The following is a 27495-nucleotide window of genomic DNA, read 5'->3' as shown; positions in this document are numbered from 1 at the left end:
ACCAGGAAGGATTCAGTTAAAGACAGTAGTGCTCTCGAGGGCCTGGGGCAAGCCATGCTGTCAGCCAAGCTGTGGGCAGGTGTGCCTGGATCCCGGCTGCTCCCCTCTGTCAGGCTCAGCAGTCCCACCCCATGTGTGCATTCAGCAGAAATGCCCTCGTATGTTCTTCAAGAGAGATACACGAAGATGCTGGGTCACAGCAGCCAAAACCTGTCGGGTGTAACAGATAAAGGAACTACGTATATTTACCCCATGGAAGACGGTGCAGCCACAAGAATGAATGACCTATGGCAACGTGCTTTATGATGGGTGAATCTTACGAAATAGCGTTGCCAGATCTAGTAATACAACAGCAGAAAGCCCAGTTCAGTTAGAATTTCAGATAAACAAAAAACTCTTTTTAGTGCATGTCCCAAATGGGCAGCATTTGGAGTACACTTACAACTATTTCTAATGACATTTTAAAAGTACTTATTTGTTGTTTATCTGAAATTGAAATTTAACTGGGTGTCCTATATTTTATCTGGAGATTCTACACAAATATAACATCAGCAAACAAATCCTGCCACAAGAGAGTGTAGACTGAGAATTCCCATTTCCTCAGAGAAGCAGAGCAGGTGCGTGCCTCGGCCTATGGAGTCAGGATGGTGTCATGCGAGAGCCAGGGTGCCGGGGGCCTGGTTGGGGTTTCACTTCTAAATCTGGGTGCTATTCACATGGGTGGATTCAGCTTATGAAAGTTCTGCCCAGCTCTGCAAAGCGCACTTCCTCACAATAGCCATGGCTGTGCTGGAATGTCCCATGTGGGACTCAGACCACAGACACACCCGGAGCTTCTCGCAGCAGAGAGCAGCCCACAGTCGGCCTGTAGGAGCCTGCTCCAGGAGCTTCCTGCTCAGCATCACTGAATTAACTGCACCTTTGGGTCTCGGCCTCAATGCTTCTTCCTCCAGGAAGCCTTCCCGGCCTCAGCCAGGTGCCCTGCTGCACCCTCCTTCATGGCTTGCATTGTCTTTGGTTGCAGCTGTCATTATTGTAGTTCAGTCATTGTTTGTATAAATGCTTGTTTATCATCTGCCTCACCCAACTGCAGGCTAAGTCCACAAGGGCAGGAGCATGCCTGCCTTCTTCCTCGTGTCCTGGTACCCAGCTCCTGCTGCATAGCCAGTGCCCAATGGTATTTGTGGAATGAAAGGATGAAGGTTTATGTGTAAACCAGCATGTATTTTTTCACTCCTTAGAGTTTTTATTCATGCAGCTAACACATGCCTAACAATTAGGGCTTTCTTCTTTTCAGCAAAAGTTTCCAGAATCTTGTTTTAAAAAAGAAACTGTACTAGAATCCCAGCCGGCCACCTTGAACACCGTTGTCCTGGCCGGCGAGACCGGAGCCTTGTTCCGTGGTGGAGGAGACGTGCTGGTGCCTTGAGAATTCAGTTGCAAGCATTCAGTGCCTGGCTGTTGTTCTGCTGGTGCAGACTCCAGGGTGCTGCGTCCACTCCTGGCCAAGGAGGCTGGTGTGGCTTTTGGGACCCTCACCCTTGGGTTTTGTCTTGATTCGTAGGGATTTGCTGCAGACGCTGACGGAGGAGGAGCTGCACACGCTGGAACGGAACCTCTGCATTTCCCAAGACGTGGAGTTCCCCATCCGCGCAGACGTGCAGGGACCCGCTGCCCTGGCGCCTGCCCTCTCTGCCCCTCTCCCCCCTGAGGGGCCACTCTCAGCTAAGGCCAAAGACCCGGATGCAGAGCTGGCCTGCTCCATGCAGTACGACGACCAGGAGCTGGAGCAGCTCAGCCGCATGGTCCACAGGGCGGGGGACGAGATGTCCTCTTTGCTTTCACCGCCCATTGCCTGCCAGTCCCCAGCTCACAGGCCAGGAGCGGAGGGCAGCCCAGGCGGGGAGGCCTCTCCAGGTAGACCGCGCCTGCGGTCAGGCAGTGACGAGGAGGAGCGCGTGTTCTTCATGGATGACGTGGAGGGGACGGCAGAAGCCCTGGCCAGGCCCGAGTCCCCAGCTGGCCCATTTGGGTGGGCAGGCAGTACCTGGGCCGACCCCCAGGAGAAAGGGCAGGGTGGGCCAGGCGGAGCGGCGGGGATCAGCTTGCCCGCCTCGGAAAAGGAGGAGGACTTGAGCAACAACAATCTCGAGGCCGAGGGCACAGATGGGGCCAGCCTCGCGGGCACCAGCTCCTGCAGCTGCCTGGACTCGCGGCTGCACCTGGACGGCTGGGAGGTGGGTGCGGATGACGCAGAGACGGCTGAGATGATCGCCCACCGGACAGGGGGCATGAAGCTCTCAGCCACGGTCATCTTCAACCCCAAATCGCCCACTTCCCTGGACTCTGCGGTCGCCACCCAGGAGGCCGCCTCGGAGCCCGTGGCCGAGGGGATGGATGGCGGCCCCCACAAGCTTAGCACTGGGGCCACCAACTGCCTTCTGCATTCCTGCGTGTGCTGTGGGAGCTGCGGGGACAGCAGGGAGGACGTGGTGGAGCGTCTGCGGGAGAAGTGCAGCCCGGGAGGCGTCATTGGTGCCTCGTACGCTGCCGGCTTAGCCAAGGCCAGCGACAGGGCCCCTGAGAGACAGGAGGAGGCGCCCCCACCCTCAGAAGATGCCTCCAACGGGCGGGAGCCCAAAGCCCCCACTTCCGACAAGTGCCTGCCTCACACCTCAGGTTCCCAGGTGGACACAGCGAGTGGGCTGCAAGGAGAGGCTGGGGTTGCAGGTCAGCAGGAGCCAGAGGCCAGAGAGCTGCATGCTGGGAGCCCCTCGGCTCACGAGGCGCCTCAGGCCCTGTCGGGCTCCAGGTAAGAGCCAGTCTGGCCCAGAGACTGGGTTTGTCCTCTCTGCACTGGGGGGCAGGTGCTGGCGCATTCTCCAAGCATTGCAGTGTTTCTACCTGAGCCATCTTGGCCACCGGCAGGTGCTGGGCCCTGGCCGAGTGTGGGGTCTGTGTGTGAGGAGGGGCAGGGGCAGGAGCTGGCTGCAGAGGCACCTGCCCTGTGGGGCGTCATGCACCAGAAAATGTGCGCCAGCGGGCCCGCTTCCCTGTTTCTGATGTTCCGGGTGCCTGTCAGGTGACATGGGCGCAGTGCCAAGCCCTCAGCTCACCTGCCGCAGCCCCGGCCCATCCCGCCCCTGGTGTGAGCCGCGTGCCTGTGCGGGGCAGTGGGAGCGGGCTGTGCCAGCGCCGGGCCCCTTGCCCTGAGCCGCATCCGAGCGCACTGCCCACTTCTCTTTGCTGACCACTGTGGCTGCCTGGCTCACACCGGGCTGAAACGAGACGCAGACCCGTGGCCGTGGGCGCGGAGACTGGGGCCATGAGGGGTGCTGAGACCACCCATGGGCAAATTCCCAGGGGTGTTCCCAGGGCCTCTGCCCCTCCCAGGACTCTCTCCTCCTTGCCCTGCACTGGGGGGAGATGGGGAGGTCTCCTATCTCTTCTCATGGGCTCCCATCCCCCACTCTGGAGACAGGGAGGGAAAGGCAGGGGCTGGGCCCAGCCCAGGGTCACTCATGGCTGCGTTGTCAGGGCCATTGACCCCCTGGCCAGGACCCTGCCCTACAGGGCTCCCACTCTGGCTGTGGCCGTGTCTATAGGCCTCGCTAACTGGAAGAGAGACGGAGGACAGGGAGGGGACGAGGTTCAACTGGAGACCAGAAAAGCCCCCACCAGGAGCCGTGGGAGCCGGGCAGCAGATGGGGATGAAGGTGGGGGGCACAGATGCAGGAGTGAGGGGCTGCGTTGAAGGATGGCAGGCAGGCCCAGGAGAGGGTCCTCACACTGGGGAAGGGGGTTCTTGGTGGCGGGCAGACGCCTCCTTCTTCCCGTGCTCGGTCCTCCCAGGTCGTGAGCTCGCTGGAGGAGTGGGAGTGACCAGGGTCCCGTGACGGTCAGGCCGTTCTTCCTTTCCGCTGCCCACTCAGGACTCAGGGCCTCCCTGCAGCTCTTTCCTGTGCTGCGGGCTGGGTGGGCTGGGCCTGGTTCCCGGTGTCCCTCCCCACTCCCCATCAGGCCCTGGGAGCCTCAGTCACTTTCCATCGATGGGTTCGCCTCTTCTGGACATTTCCTGTTAACACATTCACGTACAGGTGGTTCCAGACTTACGATGGCTCGGCTTAACGAGGGCGCGGCAGGAACCGTCCTCCGCGTTTTGAAGGCTAGGAGGGTCAGATGCATTTCTGACTTAGGATACGATGGGTTAAGTCGAGAAACATCTGTGGTGTGTGACCTCCAGGGTCCGGCTTCGTCCACCAGACGTAACGTCTGTAAGGGCCACCATGTAGAGGCACACGGCAACACGCCGTTCCTTTTTATGACTGAATCACGCTCACTGCATGGGGAGACCGTCTTTCATTTCTTCACTCACCAGTGGATGGTGGATGTGTTGTTTCTAGGTTATGGATGTGATGAAAATTTTCGTCCAAGTTTTTGTGTGGACACAGGTCTTCAGCTCATCTGGGTGGATCCCTGTGAGCGGAATTGCGGATCATGTGGTCACTCTGTGTGTGGCATTTTGAGGAGCTGCCAGACTACTTTCTAACGTGGCTGCAGTTGGCATCCAGGCAGCTGTGGATGTGGGTTCCAGTTTCCCAAGTCCTTCCTTACACTGGTCATTGTCTTTGTTTTGTCCTTAGGGCATGCCCCACTCGTCAGCAGTCAGCTGATGTCTCTAAGGCCACTGGACACCATTTCCTCACAGCAGGTTCATTGGTCTCATTCAGCATTATGTGTGTAGAACTTGCCATTGACAGCTGATTCAACTTTATATTTGTGTGGTTCCCAGTCAAATCTATAAATAAGATAGACCCAGAGAAGTCTGTCTGAAGGAACCTTTTTCTCCCCTGCCCCCAAAGGGAACAGTTGAAGAATGTTTTATAGTATATTCTTCAATTTTCAAAAATGTAAGCAAAGGCACATGAGTGGATGTTCAGATACACACCCGCGTATCCCCCATCCCCGTATTTGGTGAAGGGCCTCCTGCTACAAGCACTCGCCCCCACCTCGCTCTCCTGGCCTTCTGCCCGAGCCGCTCCAGTGCTTGCTAGAGATGTCCTGCTTCCCTTCACTGCGGGGCAGGGCCTCATGCGAGGCTGGCCTGGCGTGCACTCGGGCCCAAGTGCTGGCTTGGGCTTGTTTCCAGGCTTTTCCTGTCACAGACGTGCCACGATGAACAGCCTCGCGCGAACAGCCTCTCCTCTTTCTTTTGGGTGAGGCCGTTTTTGAGATGCAGCATGAGCTTCACGGCCGTGTGAGGCAGAGCACCTTTTCCCCACTACTGGATGCTTTCCTCAGGGGCTCAGACCCAGTTCACTGGCAATGGATCGTTTTTCTCCGAGTTTGACATGAAACCATCAGAAATTCTTTGACAGGATAAGTGGGAGAGTTTTTGGTTTGGGGCCTGCACATCTTTTGCTGCTGGGGGTGGTGGGGGGTTGTCCAGGTGACAGCCAGTGGACGCCCACCCCCTCCAGAAGCTCCTCCCACCTTCCTGGCGTGAGCTCTGTGCCCCATGATGGACACAGCCTCTTAACGCGGCCTCAGCTTCCCAGGCCTTATGCAGCTCAGCACAGACGCTGAGGCTCAGCTGAGGAAAGGGAAGGAGCCCAGGTGGTGGTGTCATCTTCCAGGGAAGCGTTTCTGGCAGTGCTGAGGATCCGAGAAAGCAAGCACATCACAGGGTGATCAGGACAGTACATGTTCGGTTCAATTTAGGTCAGTGCCTGGGCCCAGCACTGTGCCCGGAGGTAGCTGGAAATCAGGTCAGCGGGCGGCAGCACATGGCAGCTGTCCCATCCAAGGCACAGGCGGTGTGCACCGTGGGAGCATCATTCATTCCCCCACTCATCTGTGTCTCAAGCATGTTCCGGGGTGGCTGGGCCAAGCACCGGAGACCCACCAAGGAACAAGAGACATAGCCTGTCCTCCCAGGTGTCACCTCACACCAATACGGGGGTGATAGCGCAGTGGGGGTTTTTAAACAGACAGACACAGGAGACCAGCTTCACACACACAGAAAGTTCACCCAAATTCAAACAGCCCCGTGTCAGGAAGCATGGCTGGTGTTAAGTGACGTTTGTGCGAGGCCGGTCGTGTGCACAGGTGTGGCTGTGTTTGGTTACGCCTCCCATTCTGCAGTGGGAGAGACTGAGACGGAGAGGGTGGTATTTGCCTCAGCTGAGAGCATCTGGAAGAGCCCGGGCCTGTTTGGCCGTGAGACCCGCTCGCCCGGCAGACGCCCCTGCAGCCCCTGTGGTTGTGGCGTGGACGGTTCAGAGGGAACAGTGGGCACGGCCTTGATTCACGGCTTCCAGTCTCACGTGCGAGTCGCGTCTCCGTGTACTGCAAATGAAGGAAATGTGTGGAGCTGCGGCCGACCAGCCTGTGAGATTCCCCCGAGACCCCTGGAGCCTGTGTTTCTGGCCAGGCAGACGACAGCCTCCAGGAGGAAGGACAGGGCTTCCCAGCCACCAGCCAGGGGACGGATGCACGCAGGAGGTGGGTTGGCACATGGCCCACTGGAGTCCTGGCGTGAGGGTCCCAGCCAGGAGGAGCCCCTCTCTGGAGCGTTTCCTCAGGTGCTGTCACCTGGGAGTCCGGACATCGTCCTCGACAGACAGCAGTGAATCAGCCTTGCAGATGTGAATGTTCTGGAACCTACGCCCTTCAGCTCTTTTCATTTTACTGGCTTCTTTCCGACCTTCTCAGTGGTCAATGAATCCTTTTGGAGAAGTTGACATTTTTTAAAAGCTTATTTTCCCTTCAGCTAGCCTTACCTCTTTGATCCAGAACCTTCCGTCCTCTCGAAGTCACCCTTGGAAGTTACTTGTCTAGATGACAGAAAGTCCACTCAGGCTGGTTGTCTGTTCCTTCCAGGGACACCATGAAGTGGATTTCCAGCCTTTGCCTTCTGCAAAAAGTAACACTGACTCCCTGTTTGCTAATTATAGATGTGGTCCCTGTTCATTGTAGAAACTTTGGAAAACATAAGAAGGAAAGTCTGGGTCTGGTGGCTTATGCTTGTATTCCCAGCACTTTGGGGGCTGAGGCAGGCGTATTGCTTGAGGCCAGGAGTTCAAGGCCAGCCTGGACAACATAGCAAGACCCCATCTCATGAAAAGTAAAAGTAAATTAGCCAGGTGCAGTGGCGTGGGCCTGTAGTCCCAGCTACTTTGGAGGCTGAAGCAGGAGAATCACTTGAGCCCAGAAGGTGGAGACTGCAGTGACCTATGACTGTACCACTGTACTGCAGCCTGGGTGACAGAGTAAGACCCTATCTTTTTAAAAAACAAAACAAATAAGGAAATAAATATCACCCCAAATCTTATGAACAGTTTTATTTTTTTTTCCACTGAACATGGTTTTATAGTTTCCTCTATGGTTTTTTGTCTGCCTCTTGGATTCTCTTTTCTTTTTCTTTCTTCCTTTTCTTTCCTTCCTCCCTCCCTCCCCTCCCTTCCCTTCCCTTCCTTCTCTTTTCTCTTTTTAACCACAGGGTCTCCCTTGGTTGCCCAGGCTGGAGTGCAGTGGCACAAACACAGCTCCCTGTCTGGGCTCAAGCTGTCCTCCTGTGTTAGCCTCCCAAGGTGCTGAGATTACAGGTGTGGGCCGCTGTGCCCAGCCTTGGATTATTTCTTTAGAATTGGTCCTTAGAAGTAGAATCACCACAGCAAAGGTATGAAGCCTTTTAAAGCTCTGCCACTCACTGTCAAACTGCTTTCCAGAAAGAGCTGATTACCCCCAGCAGTGCCATCCCTCGCCAACACTTCCAACTCCAACTTGAGGGGGAAAAACGGAGTACCCTTCGCTGTTCCTGAGGTTTGCCCCCTCTGATCACTGCCAACCTGGGCAGTTGTTCTGTTAGCGCCTGCGTTTTTCGTTCTGGGAAGTGACTGTGTTTTCTGCTGTTTTTCAGCTGGGATGTCACGCTTTTTGGACTTGAAAATGTTCCGTCTGGTCTGTTGGTGGCTTTCTCCAAGTTGTTCTTGCCCTTTGACTTTGTTTTTGAATGTCTTTTGATTTGCAGATGTCCTCAATTTTATCTTGTGTAATTAAGTTTATAGAAATTCTAGAAACAAGTCTGTTCCTCTGCCTTTCTGGTTGATCGCGTGTGGTGCGAGGCGCGCTGCTCCTCTGTGGTGGGGCCGGGGAATGTTCTTCTCATCTCTGGTGGCCTGGGTTTTGTTTTTTGCCATCAATCCTGCAGCCCCGATGACTAGTCGGGAGGAGGCTGGAACCAGCGCAAGGGCCTCTGTGCATCAGAGTGGGACTGACGGAGGCTGTGGCCGTCCTGACACACGGTCAAGGCTGCCCGGGCGCTGGCTTAGGGAGGTCTCAGAGCCTGTCACTGTCCGTCCCACGGGGGCAAGGCCAGGCCTGCTCCGTCGTGCAGTCGGGCGCCTCTGTGACTGTACTTGAGTCCTCCCTTCCCTGCCACTTGTCCACCGTGCTCAGCATCCTCTCTGGCCGTTGCTCTAGGTAGAATGGTAGGAGTCTCACAGGCTTCTCAGGACAGACAGTGGCCAAGCCTCTGCCCCAACCCTGTGGCACATGCCCCGCCTGTGTGCGCCTTCCTTCCGGAACTTGGCAGTGGCAGACAGATGACAGACACTGAGGGATATCCCTTTTAGAGGAATCGCTGGAGTCATGGTGGGGAGTGCCCTGCTCCATACGCAGATGTGAGGGGAAAGGCAGTGCCTGGTGAACCGACTGCTCAGCCTGAGCCTCAGTTTTGTCATATGCAAAACGGACCAACAGCAGGCCCCAGCTACATGGCAGGATGCACTCCTCACGCATCACCACTCATCCTCTGCCGTTCCTCCCAGCACAGCCCGCTGTGTCACTGTGTCACCGTGTCACCCCACTGTCACCGCTCATCCTCTGCTGTTCCTCCCAGCACAGCCTGCCGTGTCACTGTGTCACCCCACTGTCACCGCTCGTCCTCTGCCATTCCTCCCAGCACAGCCCGCCGTGTCACTGTGTCACCGTGTCACCCCACTGTCACCACTCGTCCTCTGCCGTTCCTCACAGCACAGCCTGCCGTGTCACTGTGTCACCATGTCACCCCACTGTCACTGCTCGTCCTCTGCTGTTCGTCCCAGCACAGCCTGCCGTGTCACTGTGTCACCGTGTCACCCCACTGTCACTGCTCGTCCTCTGCTGTTCCTCCCAGCACAGCCTGCTGTGTCACTGTGTCACCCCACTGTCACCGCTCGTCCTCTGCCGTTCCTCCCAGCACAGCCCGCCGTGTCACTGTGTCACCGTGTCACCCCACTGTCACCACTCGTCTTCTGCCGTTCCTCCCAGCACAGCCCGCCGTGTCACTGTGTCACTGTGTCATCCCACTGTCACTGCTCGTCCTCTGCCGTTCCTCCCAGCACAGCCAACCATGTCGCTATATCACCGTGTCACCCCACTGTCACTGCTCACCTTGCTCCCAGATTGCGCTTGCAGCTGTTCCTGGCCATCTTTGCCATGATCAGTCTTGGCTTTGCCTCTGGATTTCATTGTTTCCTGGATTCACATCTCTGTCCCCCGCTCTTCTGGCGGTGACAGCTATCCCGGGTGGCATCAGGCATTGCAGTGGCGCTTCATGACCTCGCTCCCGGACAGTGGGTCCTGGCCTCCAGCTTGAACATCCACCCACCGCGCCCCACCTGGCGACTCCTCCGTGTGGCCTGGGGTCATTCCACCAAGCTCCTCTGCCCTCTGCCAGTGTGAGGACAGGGCTCAGAGGTGTCACGGAGGAGAGCCTGCAGCCGGTCTATCCCGAGGTGGCTGCAGCTCTCCCGGGCCTGCTGACCCTCTGCCCCATGGTGAGGTCGCTGCTGCAAATCCTCCTGGGCCCCTCCAGGCCATGACACAGAGGGTCCTGTGGCCCCCAGCCTGGCTCCCGGTGCGCAGCCCAGAGGAGGGCAGGTTGTAGCTGGCACATCAGTGAAGGCGCCGCTGCGTGGGGAGTCACCTGCTGCTGGGCTGGCACTTCTGATGTGCTTCGTTCCCACATCCACCATTCGGCTTTCCCACCAGCAGACAGGTGTTCAGCCCCTTCCCTGGGTGGGGCCTCAACCAAGGGCCATGCGGTGCTGTGGCCTCGGTGGCCCGGAAGCCCACGCTTCCCTCCCTGCAGCGCAGTCAGGGCTGACAGAGCCTTCAGTGGCCCGGCCCTAGTGTGGAGCTCTTCTGGGGGCTCAGAGGACACAGGCAGCCTCCAGGTAGAAGGCTGAGCTGCTGGGCTGTGGGGGCTCTCCGGATCCGGGGGCTCCCCAGTGGACCCACTGCAGGACAAGGGGACGGAGTGACAGGTCTGGGACTGAGGCAGCCCGGCCTTGCTCCAGTGCCTGTGACCTTGAGCAGCAGGTGCCGCCCCGCGGGCCTCCCCTCCCCCTCACTGGGAGGCTCACACGGCTGCCATTTCCCCCAGACTGTCTGGGGCCCGGTGGCAGGTGCTTGCTAGGCTGCTGCAGCCATTGGTCCCTAAAGCAGGTGTCCCGAGGTCCTGCAGGGAACACCGAGACCTTCCACCCACTTCATGCCCCTGGCAGGAAAAACAAGAATGATTGAGGGGTTTAAAAATAGAGGAGGACTTGGAATTAATTAGACTCTTGAAAAACAGATTAGGTGTAATGACTGTCATTAAGCCAATCGTTTATAAGTGACGGGGCCTCCTGGGCTGACACGGTGAGTCGGGGATAAGACCAGGGCTGGTCCGCCGTGCACAGGCCCAGGTGAGAGGGCAGGGCTGGGTTCTTGCTCTCGCTGGCCCCAGGCATGAAACCTTAGCAAGCTCGGTGATGCCTGTGTCACCAGAACCCCACAAGGGACAGTGATCGCCCTGCAAGGCCCTGAGTGGTGGCCTGGATGCAGTAGGCACGCAGGCCAGCAAAGTCCTGGGAGGAGGTGCCACCCTTCTTGCAGATGGGCCTCCTCCCAATTCACAGCTGGCCTAGAGCTGGAGAGAAGGCCCCAGCCTGGCTGTGCTCTCGGGGAGGCCTGGCTGAGGGGATGGTCATTACCGCAGGTCCCCCACATGTCCTCATGACCCCACCCAGGGCCCATCCTTACAGGCCCTCTGTTCCCTGGTGACCACAGCTTCTCCCCTAGCCTCTGGACCGCACCCCGCACCTCTTGCGACATCTGCCACCCTGATCCTTCCCCACCATCACCATCCACTCAAGGGCACCACCTGCAAGCAGCTGCGGCTACATGGAAGGAGCCCCTCACCATCCTCTCTCCCTCACGCCCCCTACCTGGTCCTCTGGCCAGTGCTGGAAAGAAATTAGAATTGTTTCATGAGGTGAAGGGTGCCAGTGAGGCAGCTCCTTTTGTGAGAGCAATCTGGGGAGGCCTCCTGCAGGCGCTGACATTTGCTGAGGCCTGAATGAAGGGAAGGGGCTGGAGGAAAGGTGCCCAGGTGGCAGGACCTGTGAGGGCCGAGGTGCTGGGAAGGAGCAGAGGGGACAGGGAGCAGGGCAGAAGGAGGTCGGGGGTGGGGAGCAGGAAATCTCAGAGAGCTTTGTGGGCAGGGTGGGCAGGAAAGACTTTTCTGAGAGAAGGAACGGCATCAGAGGCGGTAACGTGAGCATGGCGGTGAAGTGGTCTGGTGGTTTAAAAATTGTTGTAAATGCTGGGCATGGTGGCTCATGCCTGTAATCCCAGCACTTTGGGAGGCTGAGGCAGGCAGATCACTTGAGGTCAGGAGTTTGAGACCAGCCTGGCCAACATGGTAAAACCCCGTCTTTACTAAAAAAAAAAAAAATACAAAATTTAGCTGGGCATTATGGCAGGTGCCTGCAATCCCAGCTACTTGGGAGGCTGAGGCAGGAGAATCACTTGAACCTGGGAGACAGAGGTTGCCATGAGCCAAGATTGCGTCACTGCACTCCAGCCTGGGCAACAGAGTGACACTCCATCTCAAAAAACGAAAACAAAAAAATGTTGTAAATGGCTTTATTGAAATATGATTGGCATATGATAAACAACAGCATATGAGAGTTCAGTTCCTCTGTGTCCTTGTCAACACTTGGTATGGTGGGCTTTTTAGCCATTCTGATAGGTGTGAAGTGGTACCTCGTTGTAGTTTTAATTTGCATTTCTCTGAGGAATAATAATGTTGAAAATCTTTTTTTTTTTAAGTAATTTTTTAGAGACAGGGTCTCGCTATGTTGCCCAGGCTGGCCTTGAACTCCTGGGCTCAAGCAATCCTCCTACTTCACTTCAGCCTCCCAATTAGCTGGAACTACAGGCACACCACCTCATCGACTCAAGCGTCGCTTCATGTGCTATTTGTCATTGGTTGTTTGGTGAAGCGTCTGTTGACATCTTTTGCTGTTTCTTTCACTTGGGTTGTTTATCCATATTGAGTACTGATAGTTCTTTATATATTCTGGATATAATTCTGTTATGTGATTTTCAAATATTTTCTCCCAATCTTGTCTTGTCTTTTCATTCTAACAGTATCTTTTGAAGAGCAAAACTTTTTAATTTTGATGAAGTACAATTTATCAATTTTTTATTTTATGAATTGTGATTTTGGTGCCATATCTAAGAATTATTTTCATAGCCCACAGTCACAAAAATTTTTTTCTATGTTTTCTTCTGGAAGTCTTATGCTTTTAGGTTTTACATTTAGATCTATACAGTATTCCATTTGAAGTAACTCATGTATATGGTGTGAGGCATGGATCAATTTTTGTTTTGCATAAGGAAAGTCAATTATTCCAGAATTATTTGTTGGGAAAGACTATTCCTTCTCCACTGAATTGCCTTTGCATTTTTATCTTCAGCTGACCACATGGGGTGGGTTTACATCTGAACTCTCCAGTCTGTTCTATTAATCTATTTGCCTGTATTGACACCAATGCCACACTGTCCTAAATATGGTAGCTTTATAATAAGCCTTAGTTGGAAGTGCAAGTGCCCAGCTTTATCTTCTTTTGAAGGTTGTTTTGGCTATTCTGTCTCCTTTCTGTTTCCATGTGAATTTTAGGGTTGTCAACTTTTACCAAAAAAAAAAAAAAAGCCTGCTGGGATTTTGATTGGGATTATGTAGAATCTATGTAGTAATTTGGAAAGAATTAGCATCTTAATAATAGTTCTGGTTCATAAACATAGTATATCTCTTTATTTATTTAGGCCTTTAATTTATCTCAGCAAAGTTTTATGGTTTTTAACTGTACAGGTCTTGCACATCTTTTGTCAGATGAATCCTCAAGTATTCTATATTTTGTGATGCCATTGTCAATTGGTTTGTTTTATAATTTTAATTTGTAATTGTTCATTGGTAATATAGCTATAACTGATTTTTGTAGATCTTCTAGAAGATTTTTTTTTTTTTTTTTTTGAGATGGAGTCTTGCTCTGTCACCCAGGCTGGAGTGCAGTGGTGTGATCTCGGCTCACTGCAAGCTCTGCCTCCTGGGTTCACGCCATTCTCCTGCCTCAGCCTCCCGAGTAGCTGGGACTACAGGTGCCTGCCACTACGCCCAGCTAATTTTTTGTATTTTTAGTAGAGACGGGGTTTCACCGTGTTAGCCAGGATGGTCTCGATCTCCTGACCTCGTGATCCACCTGCCTCGGCCTCCCAAAGTGCTGGGATTACAGGCTTGAGCCACCATACCCGGCTGATCTTCTAGAAGATTAATCTTCCAGATTGATCTTGCTAAACTCACTTTATTAGTTATGGTTTTTTCAAAGATTTCATCAGTTTTCCTACATAGATGATCTTGTCATCTGAGAAGAAAAGCAGTTTTGCTTGTTTTCAATTGTACGTCCTATATGTATTCCTTTTTCTTGTGTTTTTTAACCAGCCAGAACCTCCAGTATAACGTCGAATGAAAACAATGAAACAGGATGATTCTGCCTTATTCCCAAGCATTCAGTATCTACTGTTAAGTGTGATTTGAGCTGTAGGATTTTCACAGATGACCTTCATCTTCTCAAATAAAAAAGGAGTTCTCTCCTATTCCTAATTTGCTAAGAGGTTTTTTTTTTTTTTAATCAAGAACAGATGTTGGATTTTCTCAAATGCTTTTTCTGCATTCTTTGACGTAATCACATGGTTCTCCTGTTTAGCCTATTAATGTAATAAGTCACAATGATTGATGTTCAGATGTTCGGCCAGCCTTGCAGTCCTGGGGCAAACTGTACATGGTCATGAGGTATTAGCCTTTGAATTTACTGTTGGCTTTGATTTGCTGAACTTCAGTAGGATTTTGCATCTGTCTGAGAGGACTGTCAGGCAGCCGTCTTCTTGTCATGCCTTTTTCTGGTGCAGGAGCATGGCTGTCCAGGAGGAGCTGGGGAGTGCTCCACCTCTTCGGGTTTCTGGAAGAGCTTGTGTAGAACGGGCATTATTTCTGCTTGAAATGTGAGACAGACTTCACCAGGGAAGCCATCTGGGCCTGGAGTTTTCTTTGTGCGAAGATTTTTGACTACAAAATCAATGTCTTTCTAGCAGACTGTCTGTTGAATTATCATCTTATTCCGTGAATGGAGTTTCTTTGCTGCAGTGTTGAGTAATCCGTTGACCCTGCTCCATCCTCCTGACGTCCCCTCAGAGGCACTGACTTGTTATCAGGCACTCGATGACCTGATCTGGCCCTCGCCACAGCCCTGCCCCTGCAATCGGCTTCCCTTGTCCATGCCAAACCAGGGGACCTGCTTGTAGACCCCTTGTGCCCTCCTATTCCTGTCCCTGTCTGCCCCTCGACCTAGCGTTGCCCTATGCTGTGGCCTCCCTCCCTGTCCCTTTGGCATGGAGCCACCATCGTTCAGCCCATGGCTGCCTGGACGAAGATGTAGGGAGCTTTGCCAGCTGGGTCTCACTGAGTCCCACAGCTGCCTTCAAGGTGGGCATCTCCATGTCTGTGGCATTCCTGTTCGCTTCATGGCTGGGCCATCCCTTCCAACCCAGCTCTCCGGCCGCCTGCAGGACCCATCCCAGGGTTCAGCCTGTGCCTCTCAGGCTCTGCAGCATGGTGTCCTCCCAGCCCCCCATGCTGTGTCCCAGAGCACCTGGATGTGACTGAGGAGCCTGGTTGGGGGACGTGCTGGCTCTAGGCTAAGTGGAAAGGAGGTGGCACTGAGGGCTGGAAGGCAGCAAGGCCTGGGAGGACGTGCTGGAGCCTGGCCCATTGAGACACTCACATCCCTGACTCTCCCTGCAACTCCTGCCCTGCAGCCCGGCCCCCTCTGCTCCCCACCCTAGCTCCTTGGCCCAGTGCAGCACCATGGACTGGCTGGTGGCTGTCCAGCCTCAGCCTCCCAGGGCACAGACGCTGGGGCCCACCCAGGCAGGGTTCATGTCCTCCACCAGCCAGGCGTGTGGGGAGTGGGATGGGCATCGGCAAGTGTGGCAGGCTGCCATTCCGAGGGGGGCTCCAGGAGAAGGAGCTGGGCAGAGTCCAGGCCTGTAGTGCTGCCCCTTGAGGTGCAGCTCTCAGTTCCCGCTCTCCTGACCCCAGGACCCCCAGCCCTGTCCCTCAGGACAGGTCTCAGTGAGGCACACAGCAGTGTCTGAGGTGGAGAGAGAGGGGACTCAGGGCCACTTCCGGCCCTACTCCCTGCTCCTGGCAGCATCAGGGAGCCCGTCAAGGGGTGGAAGCGGGGGCTTTGGCTGCAGTGGAGCCTGCTTGGTAAGCATTGGCCCCTCCTCGGGGAGCCTAGAAGGGGATGGGGCCTCCCCGTGAGCCCAAGAAGGTGAGAAGGTGCCAGCCACTTGCTCCCCAGTGGCTCCAGGAAGCATTCTCAAGGGGTCGTTTTCCTCCACCCCATGGGACCAGGAAAATTCCAGGGGGAACAGCCCCTTCTCGAAAGCCAAGCATCTCCTCCCACCTTCACTGAGCCGAAAGCAAGAGGAAGCGGGTTTCAACCGCGGTGATGCTGCAGCCGGAGACCAGGATGCCGTCCTCAGCTGACTTCACCCACCTCTCTGAGACTCGCCAGTTGTGGTGGCTTCTGTTCAGAGAGCTTTTTAAAGCAGCAAAAGCGCCTGCAAGGTGCGAGACGAGAAGGGCGACAGGAGCTCCTCCCGCTCGTGTGCCGGGGGCAGGAGCACACGTGCAGGCACTCTTCGCTAATCTGCATTTCCTCATTTTTTTAGGGTGCACATGTATTGCTTATGTAATTACGAAGAAAAACATAAAGGGATAGTTTCCCAGACCATAATAATAGTGGGATCTTTTCAAGAGCTGGGCTGTGTCTAGGCCTGGGCTTCACTGTGTCCCCAGAGTCCAGATCTTGGCCAGGCAGGGCTGGGCCAGGAGGGACCAGATTATGGCCCCCACCCCTCCCCACCACTGCTCGGCTTGTGCTTGGACTTAATAGGGGAAGCAAGGAGCCAGGTGAGCACCCCAAGGCGATGCCTGGCCCCTGGCCCAGCCCTGGCCTGGCCCCTGCCCCACAGCAGGAGAGGGGTGAGGCCGTCCCAGAGGAGCTGACTTCTTGAAGGACCTGGTGAGCCGTGGACGTCAGCAGCTGCTCTGGGGCCAGGGGGCAGGTGTGGTCGTGTCCTGCTCTGCTGCACCTGCCCCCATGGCCCCCGGCTTTTGGAGACATCTCCTGGGGGCCATCAGTGAGCAGCGTTGCATCCTCACGAGAGGACAAAGCTGGAGAGGGCCAACAGACAGGAGTGTCAGGGTAGCTACGGGATCATGGAGGGGTCACCATGACGACTGGCAAAGTGGCCCTTGGGGCCTGCAACCTGCCTGTCTCACCAGGCACATTGTGATCCTCTGAAGGATCACACTTTGGGAGGCCAAGAGTTCGAGACCCTGTTCTGTAGCTGAGGAGACCCCAGCTCCTCGGAGAAGGCAGGCAGGCTTGTGGTCACACACCTTCCAGGTGGCATGGTCCTGGGGACTGCCGGGCCATCCCCATATGGGCTGCTCTCTCTGGGCTCCGGGTTGCCAGCATGGGCGGCCTTGTCCCCTGAGGAGATCTTGCACGTGAGTCCCCTGGGGCACAGGCTGGGGGCCTGGTGACCGGGGGGTGGCTCTGACGGGGCCTGCCATCACGCTGCTGGCTGAGGCCTGGCTGTCTGTCAGTTGTTGAGCTGGGCTGGCCTCCGCAAGGACAGCGGCTCCCTGGGCCTGTCCACTGTCTGTCTGTGTCTGTCCTCCCCCTGAGCTTCTGCAGAGCATCCCTGGGGTGAGGAGTGCTGGCCACAGCCTGGCTGTCCCCTGTGGGTGATGAGGATCGGGGGCTCAGGGGAACTCAGGTTCGCCGAGTTCTTCTGGACACCACCGTGATGACTGACCAGAGACATCTCTGGGACCTCCTGAGCCCCAAGTCCACAAGTGTCCTGGAGCACGATGCACAGGCCCCCGCAGGCTGTGGTAAGCTGTGTCACCTCTGCCGTCTGGGCAGGGAACTTAACCTCCCAGCACCTCAGTTTACTTGTCTGTAAAATGGGAAGGTGAGGCCAGGTGCTGTGGCTCACACCTGTAATCCCATTGCTTTGGGACCCGAGGCAGGAGGATCACCCCAGGGGGCGATGGGGCTGCTGACAGTGTGGGGCTGCACCTGGCTCCGTGCCCACCCCCTGCCTGACCCTCCAGAGGGCTGGCCTCTTTGATGACAGCAGGTGGCAGGAGGCTGTGGCCCTGAGGTCTGGCCCAGTGGCCTCAGCCTTTGTCACATACCACCCCCCTCACTTTGGGGAGGCTGTGCTACAGCCTGTGTTACGCGGCCCAGGGCCACACCCAGGACCTGAGTGCCCACTTACTCCACCCCTGCTGAGGGGCACCCTTGTTCGAAGGAATCTGTGTGGGCAGTATCGTGCTCCTGTTTTATTTTATTAATTTAATTTAATTATTGAGGCAGGGTCTTACTGTCACCCAAGCTGGAGTGCAATGGCATGATCTTGGCTCGCTGTAACCTCTGCCTCCCAGGTTAAAGCAATTCTCATGCCTCAGCCACCAGACTAGCTGGGACCACGGGCACTTGCCACCCCCACAGCTAACCTTTGTATTTTTAGAAGAGACTAGGTTTTGCCATGTTGGCCAGGCTGGTCTCGAACTCTTGGCCTCAAGTGATCTCCCACCTTGGCCTCCCAAAGTGTTGGGATTACAGGCATGAGCCACCATGCCCAGCCTTAGCACTCCTATTTTATTAATTTAATTTAATTTTTGAGGCAGGGTCTCACTCTGCCACCCAGGCTGGAGTGCAGTGGTGCAATCATGGCTCACTGCGGCCTAGGATTCCTGGGCTCAAGTGATCCCGAGTAGCTTGGACCACAGGCATGTGCTGCCATGCCCAGCTATCTTTTTTTTTAACTTTTAGTAGAGACAGGGTCTCACTGTGTTACCCAGGCTGATCTCAAACTCCTGGACTCAAATGATCCTCCTGCCTTGGCCTCCCAAAGTATTGGGATTAAAGGCGTGAGCCATTGTGCCCAGCCTCACTTTCCCGTTTTACAGACAAGTAAACTAAGGCCCTGGGAGGTTAAGTTCCCTGCCCACATGGCAGAGGTGGTGATGCCCAAGGGCCTTCAGCTCACACTGCCTAACCTGTGACTCACCAACCCAGCTTGGAGACACCCTCCCCATGGCAGGACCTCCCCTTGGAGCAGCAGCCACGTGCCCAGGTCCCCTCGGGGGTCTCCTCTTATTGCCAGCCCAGAGCCCCTCGGAGGCAGGCGCTGCTGCTCCACTGTGGCCCCAGCACCCAGCCCAGGGCCCGATGCTCCCCCACTGTGTAGCAGGTGCTCACCTGGCCCACCCCCTCACTGCACAGATCAGGACTTGCCCTCATTAGAGATGAGGTTCCGTTCTAGTGTCACCTGTTGGTTTTCCTGGGAGCCAGCTCTGGGGCCACAGGGGGGCTTAGGAGATGGAGGCCCTGTACCCAGTGATCATGGCTGGGAGGTGATGCAGGTCCTCGGGCCTTCATGGACTCAGGGCTGGGTAGGGCCATATCTCTGCTCAGGCCAGGCCGCCTCCTCCAGGAAGCCCTCCCTGCTGTATGGTGACTGTGCCTTGCTGTCGTGGGGGTGTTGGGCATCTGACCACAGGCCAGTTGCTTCTGCCTTCCGAGGCCCACTGCACCTCGATAGGGCCCGGCCAGACAGGAGTGGGGGTGGAGGGAGTGTGAAAAACATAAAGGAATTCGTGTTCCTAACTGAATCCCAAGAGACATCAAGGCAATGCTGCTAAATTAGAGGAGATGGGAAAATAGCTAATTTTCAGAGCATTCACACATCCATATCCAGTGTCTCCTTATGTTCAGTACTTTGGAACCAAACTGCGGGTCCTACGGTGACTCCCCCTGCCCCCTCAGAGTGCCCCCCTCGCCCTGCAGCCCCCACTGCTGACGCACAGCGGTGTCCACATCACAAAAGGCACTGGGAGGGCGGGGGCAGGGAGGGGCTGTCTCCCTTCCAGAGACCTAAAGAGATCCCAAGGGCGCCTGGGACACCCCTTCCTCCCCTTAGCTCCAGACGTCCTGGAAATCTGTGATGTCTGCTGGCCTCTGTAGAGGGAACACCAGCCGCAGCCACCTCCACGTCAGTCACCGCAGAGAAAGGAAGATTTGTGGAAGGAATACAGCAAATCAACGCCTCCTCGCAAAGCACTTTCCCTGGATGTTGAAACAGTGACTGCAAACTCAGAGGCCCTTCAGGGGCTTAAGCCAGGATTCGTTCAGCCCATCCTACGGCTGCTGCACGTGAGGCCCGAGGCCCTTGCTGCATCTGCACTGCACCCACGCCGCTGAGAGGATCTCACTTGTCTGACCCGTCAGTGGCTATCTTACTGTCCGTGTCTGTGGCTCAGGCAGCAAAGCTCTGGACCACATAACCTGCCCAGGGTCGCCCAGCGGGTGAGAGATGCTCTTAGGATCAGATGACAGATTCCACCTCTAGATGCCTGTCTGGGGCTGCTGTAACAGAACACCCATGAGCTGGGAGGCTTAAAACCGTGGGGATTTGCTGGTTTACAGTTCTGGAGGCAGGCATCTGAGATGAGGGCGCTGGTGGGGTGGCACTGCAGCCCAAGGTTCTAGGGGATGATCCTCCTGCCGCTTCCAGCTTCTGGTGGCTCCTGGCACTTCCTTGCCTTGTGGCCAAGTCACTCCAAGCTCTGCCTCCGTCTTCTCTTGGCCCCTCGCTGTGTCTGTCTCTTGTAAGGATATTTATTGGAGTTGGTATCCATCCAGATAGTCCAGGATGGTTTCATCTCAAGATCCTTAACTTAATTAAATCTGCAAACAACCTTTTTCTAAAAAAGGTCACAGTCGCAGATTCACATTTTGGGGGTCACATTCAGCCCACCGTGACGTCTGAATCCTGTGCCTCCAGCCCCTCACCCCTCCCGTCACCCCCCACCCTGTCTTCAGGACACAGCAGAGAGCAGGGGCTGGAGAGTCAGCAGCCAAGGGCTGAGCTCCTTCCCTAATCCCACCTGGCATAGGTGAACTGGAGACCGCATTTGCTCCACCAAGAGCCCACGTCTCAGCTTTGCATCAGCTAGCTGGGCTGTGTATAAGCAATGCCGAGTAAGGGTCCTGCAGCATCCATGCGTCAGATGCCTGTCTCAGCACAGCTGGGTTCTGTGCTCAGGGTCTCCCCAGGCTGAAATCCAGGTGCTGTGGACTGCGCTCTCGTCTGGAGCGGCTGACGTTTATTTCATCGCTTCTTGTTGATTGAGAAGAGACTATGAGATGCAGTTGTGGCAGGTGTGGAGCTTAGCACTTGACATCCTCGGAGGCAGCGTCCCCGTCCACGCCTGATGCCCCCTCCCACCCCCGCAAAGGGCAGGCCTCGGGGCTGACCTCTGACCTGCTGCCTTTTTGGCATCCTCCCGCTGAGGTCCCTTAGGTCTCATTAGCAGGAAGCAGGGCTGGCCTGGGCGCCGGGAGGGAGAAGCTGAGGGGTGGGGACCATGCAGCCCATGCTGGGAGAGCGAGTGAGCCAGTGCCCGTACAGGGGGCTGTCCTCTCGCCGCTTCTCTGGCCGCTGACCCCATGCTCCCCACAGGGACCGAAGTCCTGCAGCAGCAAATCTCAGGCCACTGTCCCTGCACCCCCTAGAGTGCCTGCATGGAGCAGGTTTGGAGGTGGGTGGGGGAGCAGTGACTGGGCCCAGAGTGTCTGGAAGGACCCCTGGACCTGTGCCCACACCCTGAGACCGGAGGAATATGGACATTGGAGGGTGCTCCAAGACAATGCGCCAAGACCGGGTGACACATCCAGGAGAGACCTGCGGACCAAGCTAGTGCCTGCCTGTGGGGACCACAGACCCCGGCCAGCTGACCAGGGCGGGGCAGCCCTGAGATCCCGGCTTCAATTTCCCTCCCTCCCGCTGAGCTGTTTCTGGGATGGGCGCCTGCCCTCCTGGACCGGCCCAGCCCTCCTTCCTGTCCCTCGGTTCTGTCCTTCATTCTGGCCCACAGTGGCAGCGGCCCTTCTGAGGATGCCCTGGTCACGGAACAGCATTCGTCTCCTTCTCAGTCCCAGCCTGTGCTCAACCCAGGGGCTGTGGAGCTGCAGTCAGGAGCTGTGGTGAGAAGACTGACTTCCTTGGGAAGGCGAGTCACACAGGAAAACCACGAGAGAGAATGACTTTGCAAGGGGCTGGAGAGGAAAGGAAGCAGGGAGATTCCAGCCTGCTCAGAAGAAATCAGCTTACTTGCTGCTGGAAGTTATTAGGGCTGACACCAGTGCAAAGGCCTGGCAGCCACAGTGGGGCCGGCGCCATGGCGGGGTCAGCGCCACGTGTTAGTTCCCCCGGCTGCTGTGACGAAGCACCGCGGCAAGGTGGGTTAAATCACGAGGGCGTTTGTTGTCTTGCAGTTCTGGAGGCCAGAAGTCGAGATCAAGGTGTCAGCAGGGCTGGTTCCTTCTGGGGCCATAAGGGAGAATCTGTCCTGGGCTGCCTTCCAGCCTCAGGGGGCTTGCTGGCCATCTTGGGTGTGTACTTGGCTTACAGAAGCATCACTCCAGTCCCTGCCTTCAGTCCACGTGGGGTTCTGCCCAGGTGTGGGCCTGCACCCAAATTTTCCCCATGGGTAAGGACACCAGTCAAGTTGGCTTAGGGCCCACCCTACTCCTGGATGACCTTATCTTAACTTTAGTTACACCTGCAATGACCCTGTTTCCAAATAAGGTCACATTTTAAGGTATTGGGGGTTAGGACTTCAACATATGAGCTTGCTGGGGGGCCCCAATTCAACCCCAAACAGCACACTCGCGCCTCCCTGCTAAATCCTTGCCGTACTAGACTCAGGGCACCTGCCAAGAAGAGGGGTCTACCTGCTGTTGGTTTCCGCTGTGGCCTGAGCTGAGCTGGTACGACTTTGGCAGACAGTTCCAGAGCCGATTCCTGGAAGGGTGTCTCAGCCCTCCCTGATCCCAGGACTCACAGAGGAAGTCAAAGCCAGGCCTTGTGCATTGCAGACTCAGCCCCCCGGAGGTCTTTGTGAGGCACCATAAGAGGAGACAAGATGTCCCAGCAGGCTCCAACTCCTCTGGGGAACCAGAGGCGTCCAGGACTGTGGGATTGTCCTGACCTGGTGGCCAGTGTGACCGGGCAGCAAGGCCTTCACCTCTGACTCCTGGGAGGCTGTGCTCAGCCCATCTTGGGCTCCTGCTGCTGAGGTCCTCTCCATCTCATTGGTGAAATCTCCACCAAAATGCTTCCTCTGAAAGCTGGGTTGTCCACCACTGTGCCCCGTCGCGCTCTCCTCCTCCCCATCATGGTCTTCAAAGCCCCAGGCGAGCCACGGTGGCCTATACCTGTAATCTCAGTACTTTGGGAGGCTGAGGTTGGAGGATCATGTGGGGCCCGGAGCTTGAGGTTACAGTGAGCCGTGGTCACGCCACTGTGCTCCAGCCTGGGCGACACGGCCTTTATCACGGTGGGAAATGGTCTCATTTCTGAACACTCATTTGCAGGCTGGCTGACTCCCTCCACTGCGTACACACGTGAATCCGGTCTTGTGTGGCCACATGCTCCACAGCGAGCCTGAGCTGTCGATTGATGTCAATGAATGTGGATGCGGGGGCTCCAAGAAAGAGAGCACCTGTGCTCTGTTCCTCAAACTCTTTTTCCCTCAAGTGTAGCCTACAGGGAATTGCGTTCTGTGGAGCATCCTCTGGGGGCACTGACCAACAGGCCAAGGTCCGAACTGTCCAGCCCTCCCAGTGGGCCTCTGCTTAGCCTCAACCTCTGCCTGGTCTCTCCCAGCATCACCAGGGGGTTCCCTACAGTCTGTCGGCTGCTTCCCACCTCTTGGCTTTCATTCAAGCTGTCCTCATGCTGCGCCTTCCAGGAACCCTCCCTGGCACTCCAGACCTCTCTCCAGCCTGAGTGAGGAGTCTCCCCTCTGACCTCCCACAACAACACCCTTGATGGTTCCTCTGTTACACTTTCCGTGTGTGATAATTAACTGTTCACCTATTGATCTCTGCCATCAAATCGTGAGCTCCTTAGGGCTGAACTGTGCAATTCCTGGATCATAGTTGGTGCTTAGTGCATGTTTGTAGGGCAGGTGGATGGATGGATGGATGGATGGATGGATGGGTGGATGGACGGTTGGATGGTTGGATGGATGGATGGATGGATGGACTGATGATTAGATGGATGGGTGGGTGGATGGATGGATGGCAAATGAATGAGTGGATGGGTGGATGGATGGGTGGGTGGATGGGTGGATGGATGAGTGGATGGGTGGATGGATGGGTGGGTGGATGGGTGGGTGCATGAGTGGATGGGTGGATGGATGATTGGATGGATGGATGGATGGATGGATGGATAAATGGATGGGTGGGTGGGTAGATGGGTGGGTGGATGAGTGGAAGATTGGATGATGGGTAGACGGATTGGTGGGTGGACAGGTGGGTACATGGGTGGATAGATGGATGGATGATTAGTTGGGTGGATGGATGGATGGATGCATGGATTGGTGGATGGGTAGATGAATGGATGGGTGGATGGATGGATAGGTAAATATATGGATGGGTAAATGGATGAGTGGGTGGGTGGGTGGATGGATGGATGACTTTTACAAGAAGCAGCCAGCCCACCATTTGCGTCAGGGCCCAAGGTGGCTCATTAGAATTGGTATGTGGTTGTACAAATGCCCGAGCTGCTAATTTTCCCACATCCAAGCACAATTAAACCTTGCCTCTGGAGCCTACCAGTCACTCTTGATGTTCTTTGTTTTTGTTTTTTATTTATTTTTCTTTAGAGATAGAGTCTTGCTATGTTACGCAGGCTAGCCTTGAATTCCTGGGCTCAGGGGATCCTCCTGCCTCAGCCTCCCCGTAGCTGGGACTACAGGCTGTTTTTCTCTTCATTAGCCTTTGCAAATGGTTTCAAGAGTTCAAAAATTAATGTATCTGATGTCATAATGAGAAACATACTGTGATGCTGTTAGTCTTTCCAAAGTTGGCATTCTCTTCTTTCACAGACTCCTAGAGGTTCAAGGTGGCAAAGTCCTGTCTTTCTGTTTGCATACTCACTTGCTAAATTTGCTGCATCAGATTCATTTGGGCTTTGCTATGGTCTTTCTTTTCCATAGTAATTGGAATTAAAATTATAAGTTCAGTAAACTTCCCTCTTCTGCTCTATCCAATTGCTGAATTCAGACGTGTTCCATGTTCCCAACATCTCAGAGGCTCCCCTCACCACTTTTCCCACCCCAATGATGACATCAGCCATTTATCCCCCCTGTGTGCTGTTCAAGAGGAGCACTTTGGAAACCTGGCCACTGTCCTGTGGCCTAACTGTGACACAGCTGAAGACACAGGCTGGGCAGCCTTTGGTATTGATGTGACTGTTTAGAATTGCACTGCCTTTCTTTACCAGAGAATGACATTTCATAGTAGTTCAAACCGAAGTGGGGCTGTTGCAGGGAGTTTTTGCTGCCTTCTGTAAGAGAGTGGCAGGAAGCAACATTCAGGCAGCCGGTGCGGGAGTGTCTGGCAGCTGCAGAAGGTGGCTGGACTTTTAGACATCCGGGTGAACATGCTGAAGTGACGTTGATCCACTGACTTGAGAACATCAGTGACAAGGGTTCAGACTCTGTGGTGAGACACAGGAAGCTGTTGGCAGGGCAGGTGCCCTTCACTCTTCTAGCCTCTGCTTCTCATGGCTCCCTGTCTTTCTGTGACTTGAGCTGTGGCTGTATCTCACCCGTACTGTTCCCTTCCTCACCACAGGGATGGACCCGCTGGGCACCAGCTCACTTCTCGGCTCTGTATTGTTAATGTGTGTGGCTCCCCCACTAGACTTGGCTTTTGGGGGACACATAGTGTCTGATCTACCCCTGAGGTCCTCCTCATGGCCCTACCCTGTCTGTTCAGCAACTGGCCACAGGGGATAAACACCCTTCCAAAGGCAGTGTTCCTGGGCCACTGGCATCCAAACAGTGCCCCCTGCTGTGGTTTGAATGTGTGCCCCAAAGTTCATGTGTTGGTAACTTAATCCCCACTGCAACAGCGTTGAGAGGGGGGACCTTAAAGAGGTGATGAGGTCATGAAGGCTTTGCCCTCCTGAGCGGATTGATGTTATTGCAAGAGTGGGTTTGTTATTGCTGCAGTGGGGTCCTTATAAAGGGTGAGCATGGCCCCCTTCCCCTCTCTCTTGCCCATGCGATGCCTTCCTCCATGTGGTGACATAGCAAGAAGGCCCTAGTCAGATGGGGCCCCTCCACCTTGGGCTTCCCAGCCTCCAGACTGTGAGCCAGAAACATGTCTGTTCATTATAAATTACCTAGACTGTGGTACTCTGTTATAGCAGCAGGAAGCAAAGGAAGACACCCATCCACATGGCCCCAGGAATGGCTGACCCAGAAGGACCCAGGCTCATGCTCTCGGTGAAATCCTGGGTTCTACCTCCCCACTCTGCTCTCTTGTTCCCTTTGGCCCTTCCAAGCCCAGCCGGTTCCCTTGGGCAGTACCTCATTGGTTTTTCTACCTGTGACATCTCTGTATGGGGCCCCTTGGCTCTCTCTGTCCACCCATTCCCCCTCCCACGCCACCAGAGCTTCCAGCCAACCAGGGCAGGGAGGCAGGAGAGGGCCTTTCCTGTGGCAAGTGAAGGGTGTCTGGGGTTGAGATGGCCATCAGCGATCTGACCTACCCGTGGGCAATCGGCCAGCCTTGGCCTGGCCTCGGTCTCAACCTGCTGGTAGAAGCCATTGTTCTTATGCCACACTCAACTCTCTGTTGAACGTCAGGGCCCTTCCCCTGATTTCTCATCTCCAGGGGTGCTTCAGTAGCAGGATGCTTGTCCAGATAGCCTTCCCAGCTTCAGGGTGTTGGTCCAAGGGGCTGGAGCTGCGGGGCTGAATACTTCCCATGGGCTTCTCCTTTCACAGGGAAACAAGTTCCTCGCCACAGGCAGGGCCCGAGGGTGCCATCTGCTGCCAGCAGGCACTTTCCTTTCTTCTTGAAATGGCATCTCTTCTGATCACAAAAGCAATACTTGATCCGCGATGAGACTTTAGAAAATGATAATTTACCTGTAATCTTACTACTCAAGTAAGTGTAAGATTAATGCCTTACCTTGAGTATCTTCCCCAGTGTGTCATTTATGTACATATGACATCTCTAATTTTTATTTTTATTATTTTATTTATTTTAAGAGACAGGGTCTTGCTCGTTGCCCAGGCTGGAGTGGAGTGCAGTGGTGTGATCACAGCTCACTGTACCCTTGAACTCCTGGGCTCAAGCGATCCTCCCACCTCAGCTTCCAGAGTAGCTGGTACTACAGGTGCACACCATCATGCCTGGCTAATTTTGGATTTTTTGTAGAGACAGAGGTCTTGTCATGTTGCCCAGACTGGTCTTGAACTCCTGGCCTCAAGTGATCCTCCCGCCTCAGCCTCCCAATAATTGTTGGGATCACAGGCATGAGCCACTACACCTCGCCTCTAATTTTTTAAATGCTACATTTTTCATTTCATATTTTAACATTTCCAGTGGACCATCCTTCTGGAGATTGTTTCACCATAGGGATATGACCTAATGTATTGAGTCAACCCACTGTTGATGGACATTTAGCTTATAAGCTATTTCTTGCATATGAGTTTGCTGGGCGATTACAAGAAAAACATTCTCTTCTGTTGTTTGTGAGATGTACAGCTCAGTAATTTGTGGTACATCCATGAGGCTGTACAGCCAATATCACTGTCTAATTCAAAACATTTTCATCACCCCATAAAGAAAAACCCTCCCCATCAGCAGTCACCATGTTCCCCTCCCCCTTCAGCTGTTGCGACCACGGTTCTGCTTTCTGCCCCTATGGGTTTCGCCTGTTCTAGACATTTCATGTGAATGGAATCAATCATACAGTATGTGATTTTTTTTTTTTTTTTTGAAGGAGTCTCACTCTGTTGTCAGGCTGGAGTGCAGTGGCATGATCTCGGCTCACTGCAAGCTCCGCCTCCCGGGTTCACGCCATTCTTCTGCCTCAGCCTCCTGAGTAGCTGGGACTACAGGCGCCCGCCACCATGCCTGGCTAATTTTTTTTGTATTTTTAGTAGAGACA

The 27495-nt window shown here is 54.9% G+C and overlaps 1 protein-coding gene across 3 annotated transcripts in view, besides 8 other annotated features; it reads left to right on the top strand.

Moving 5' to 3' along the window:
- The window catches only part of ZFYVE28 (zinc finger FYVE-type containing 28), a 149049-nt gene that overhangs the window by 111545 nt on the left and 10009 nt on the right, over window positions 1-27495 (top strand). For all 3 annotated transcript variants that reach the window (NM_001172656.2, NM_020972.3, NM_001172659.2), the window contains one exon: window positions 1565-2812. In NM_001172656.2, coding sequence (NP_001166127.1) covers window positions 1565-2812 — 1248 coding nt within the window. The remainder of the gene's footprint in view (window positions 1-1564; window positions 2813-27495) is intronic.
- Window positions 8787-8886: a silencer, noted in NCBI's record as "silent region_15164". NCBI's record gives its function as "represses an Ori minimal core promoter by ATAC-STARR-seq in GM12878 lymphoblastoid cells {active_cell/tissue: GM12878}" and the evidence as "EXISTENCE:reporter gene assay evidence [ECO:0000049][PMID:35858748]".
- Window positions 15965-16014: a silencer, noted in NCBI's record as "silent region_15163". NCBI's record gives its function as "represses an Ori minimal core promoter by ATAC-STARR-seq in GM12878 lymphoblastoid cells {active_cell/tissue: GM12878}" and the evidence as "EXISTENCE:reporter gene assay evidence [ECO:0000049][PMID:35858748]".
- Window positions 18261-18783: an enhancer, noted in NCBI's record as "H3K27ac-H3K4me1 hESC enhancer chr4:2290045-2290567 (GRCh37/hg19 assembly coordinates)". NCBI's record gives its function as "activates a minimal SCP1, AML or CMV promoter by ChIP-STARR-seq in primed H9 embryonic stem cells {active_cell/tissue: H9 hESC(primed)}" and the evidence as "EXISTENCE:reporter gene assay evidence [ECO:0000049][PMID:30033119]".
- Window positions 20634-21133: an enhancer, noted in NCBI's record as "H3K4me1 hESC enhancer chr4:2287695-2288194 (GRCh37/hg19 assembly coordinates)". NCBI's record gives its function as "activates a minimal SCP1, AML or CMV promoter by ChIP-STARR-seq in primed H9 embryonic stem cells {active_cell/tissue: H9 hESC(primed)}" and the evidence as "EXISTENCE:reporter gene assay evidence [ECO:0000049][PMID:30033119]".
- Window positions 21134-21635: an enhancer, noted in NCBI's record as "H3K4me1 hESC enhancer chr4:2287193-2287694 (GRCh37/hg19 assembly coordinates)". NCBI's record gives its function as "activates a minimal SCP1, AML or CMV promoter by ChIP-STARR-seq in primed H9 embryonic stem cells {active_cell/tissue: H9 hESC(primed)}" and the evidence as "EXISTENCE:reporter gene assay evidence [ECO:0000049][PMID:30033119]".
- Window positions 24716-24775: an enhancer, noted in NCBI's record as "active region_21166". NCBI's record gives its function as "activates an Ori minimal core promoter by ATAC-STARR-seq in GM12878 lymphoblastoid cells {active_cell/tissue: GM12878}" and the evidence as "EXISTENCE:reporter gene assay evidence [ECO:0000049][PMID:35858748]".
- Window positions 25544-26043: an enhancer, noted in NCBI's record as "H3K4me1 hESC enhancer chr4:2282785-2283284 (GRCh37/hg19 assembly coordinates)". NCBI's record gives its function as "activates a minimal SCP1, AML or CMV promoter by ChIP-STARR-seq in primed H9 embryonic stem cells {active_cell/tissue: H9 hESC(primed)}" and the evidence as "EXISTENCE:reporter gene assay evidence [ECO:0000049][PMID:30033119]".
- Window positions 26044-26545: an enhancer, noted in NCBI's record as "H3K4me1 hESC enhancer chr4:2282283-2282784 (GRCh37/hg19 assembly coordinates)". NCBI's record gives its function as "activates a minimal SCP1, AML or CMV promoter by ChIP-STARR-seq in primed H9 embryonic stem cells {active_cell/tissue: H9 hESC(primed)}" and the evidence as "EXISTENCE:reporter gene assay evidence [ECO:0000049][PMID:30033119]".

This window comes from Homo sapiens, chromosome 4 (genome assembly GCF_000001405.40).
Source record: "Homo sapiens chromosome 4, GRCh38.p14 Primary Assembly".
Taxonomy (NCBI): Eukaryota; Metazoa; Chordata; class Mammalia; order Primates; family Hominidae; genus Homo; species Homo sapiens.
Note: the sequence above shows the minus strand (reverse complement) of the source record. Positions and strands in the feature narration are given on the sequence as shown.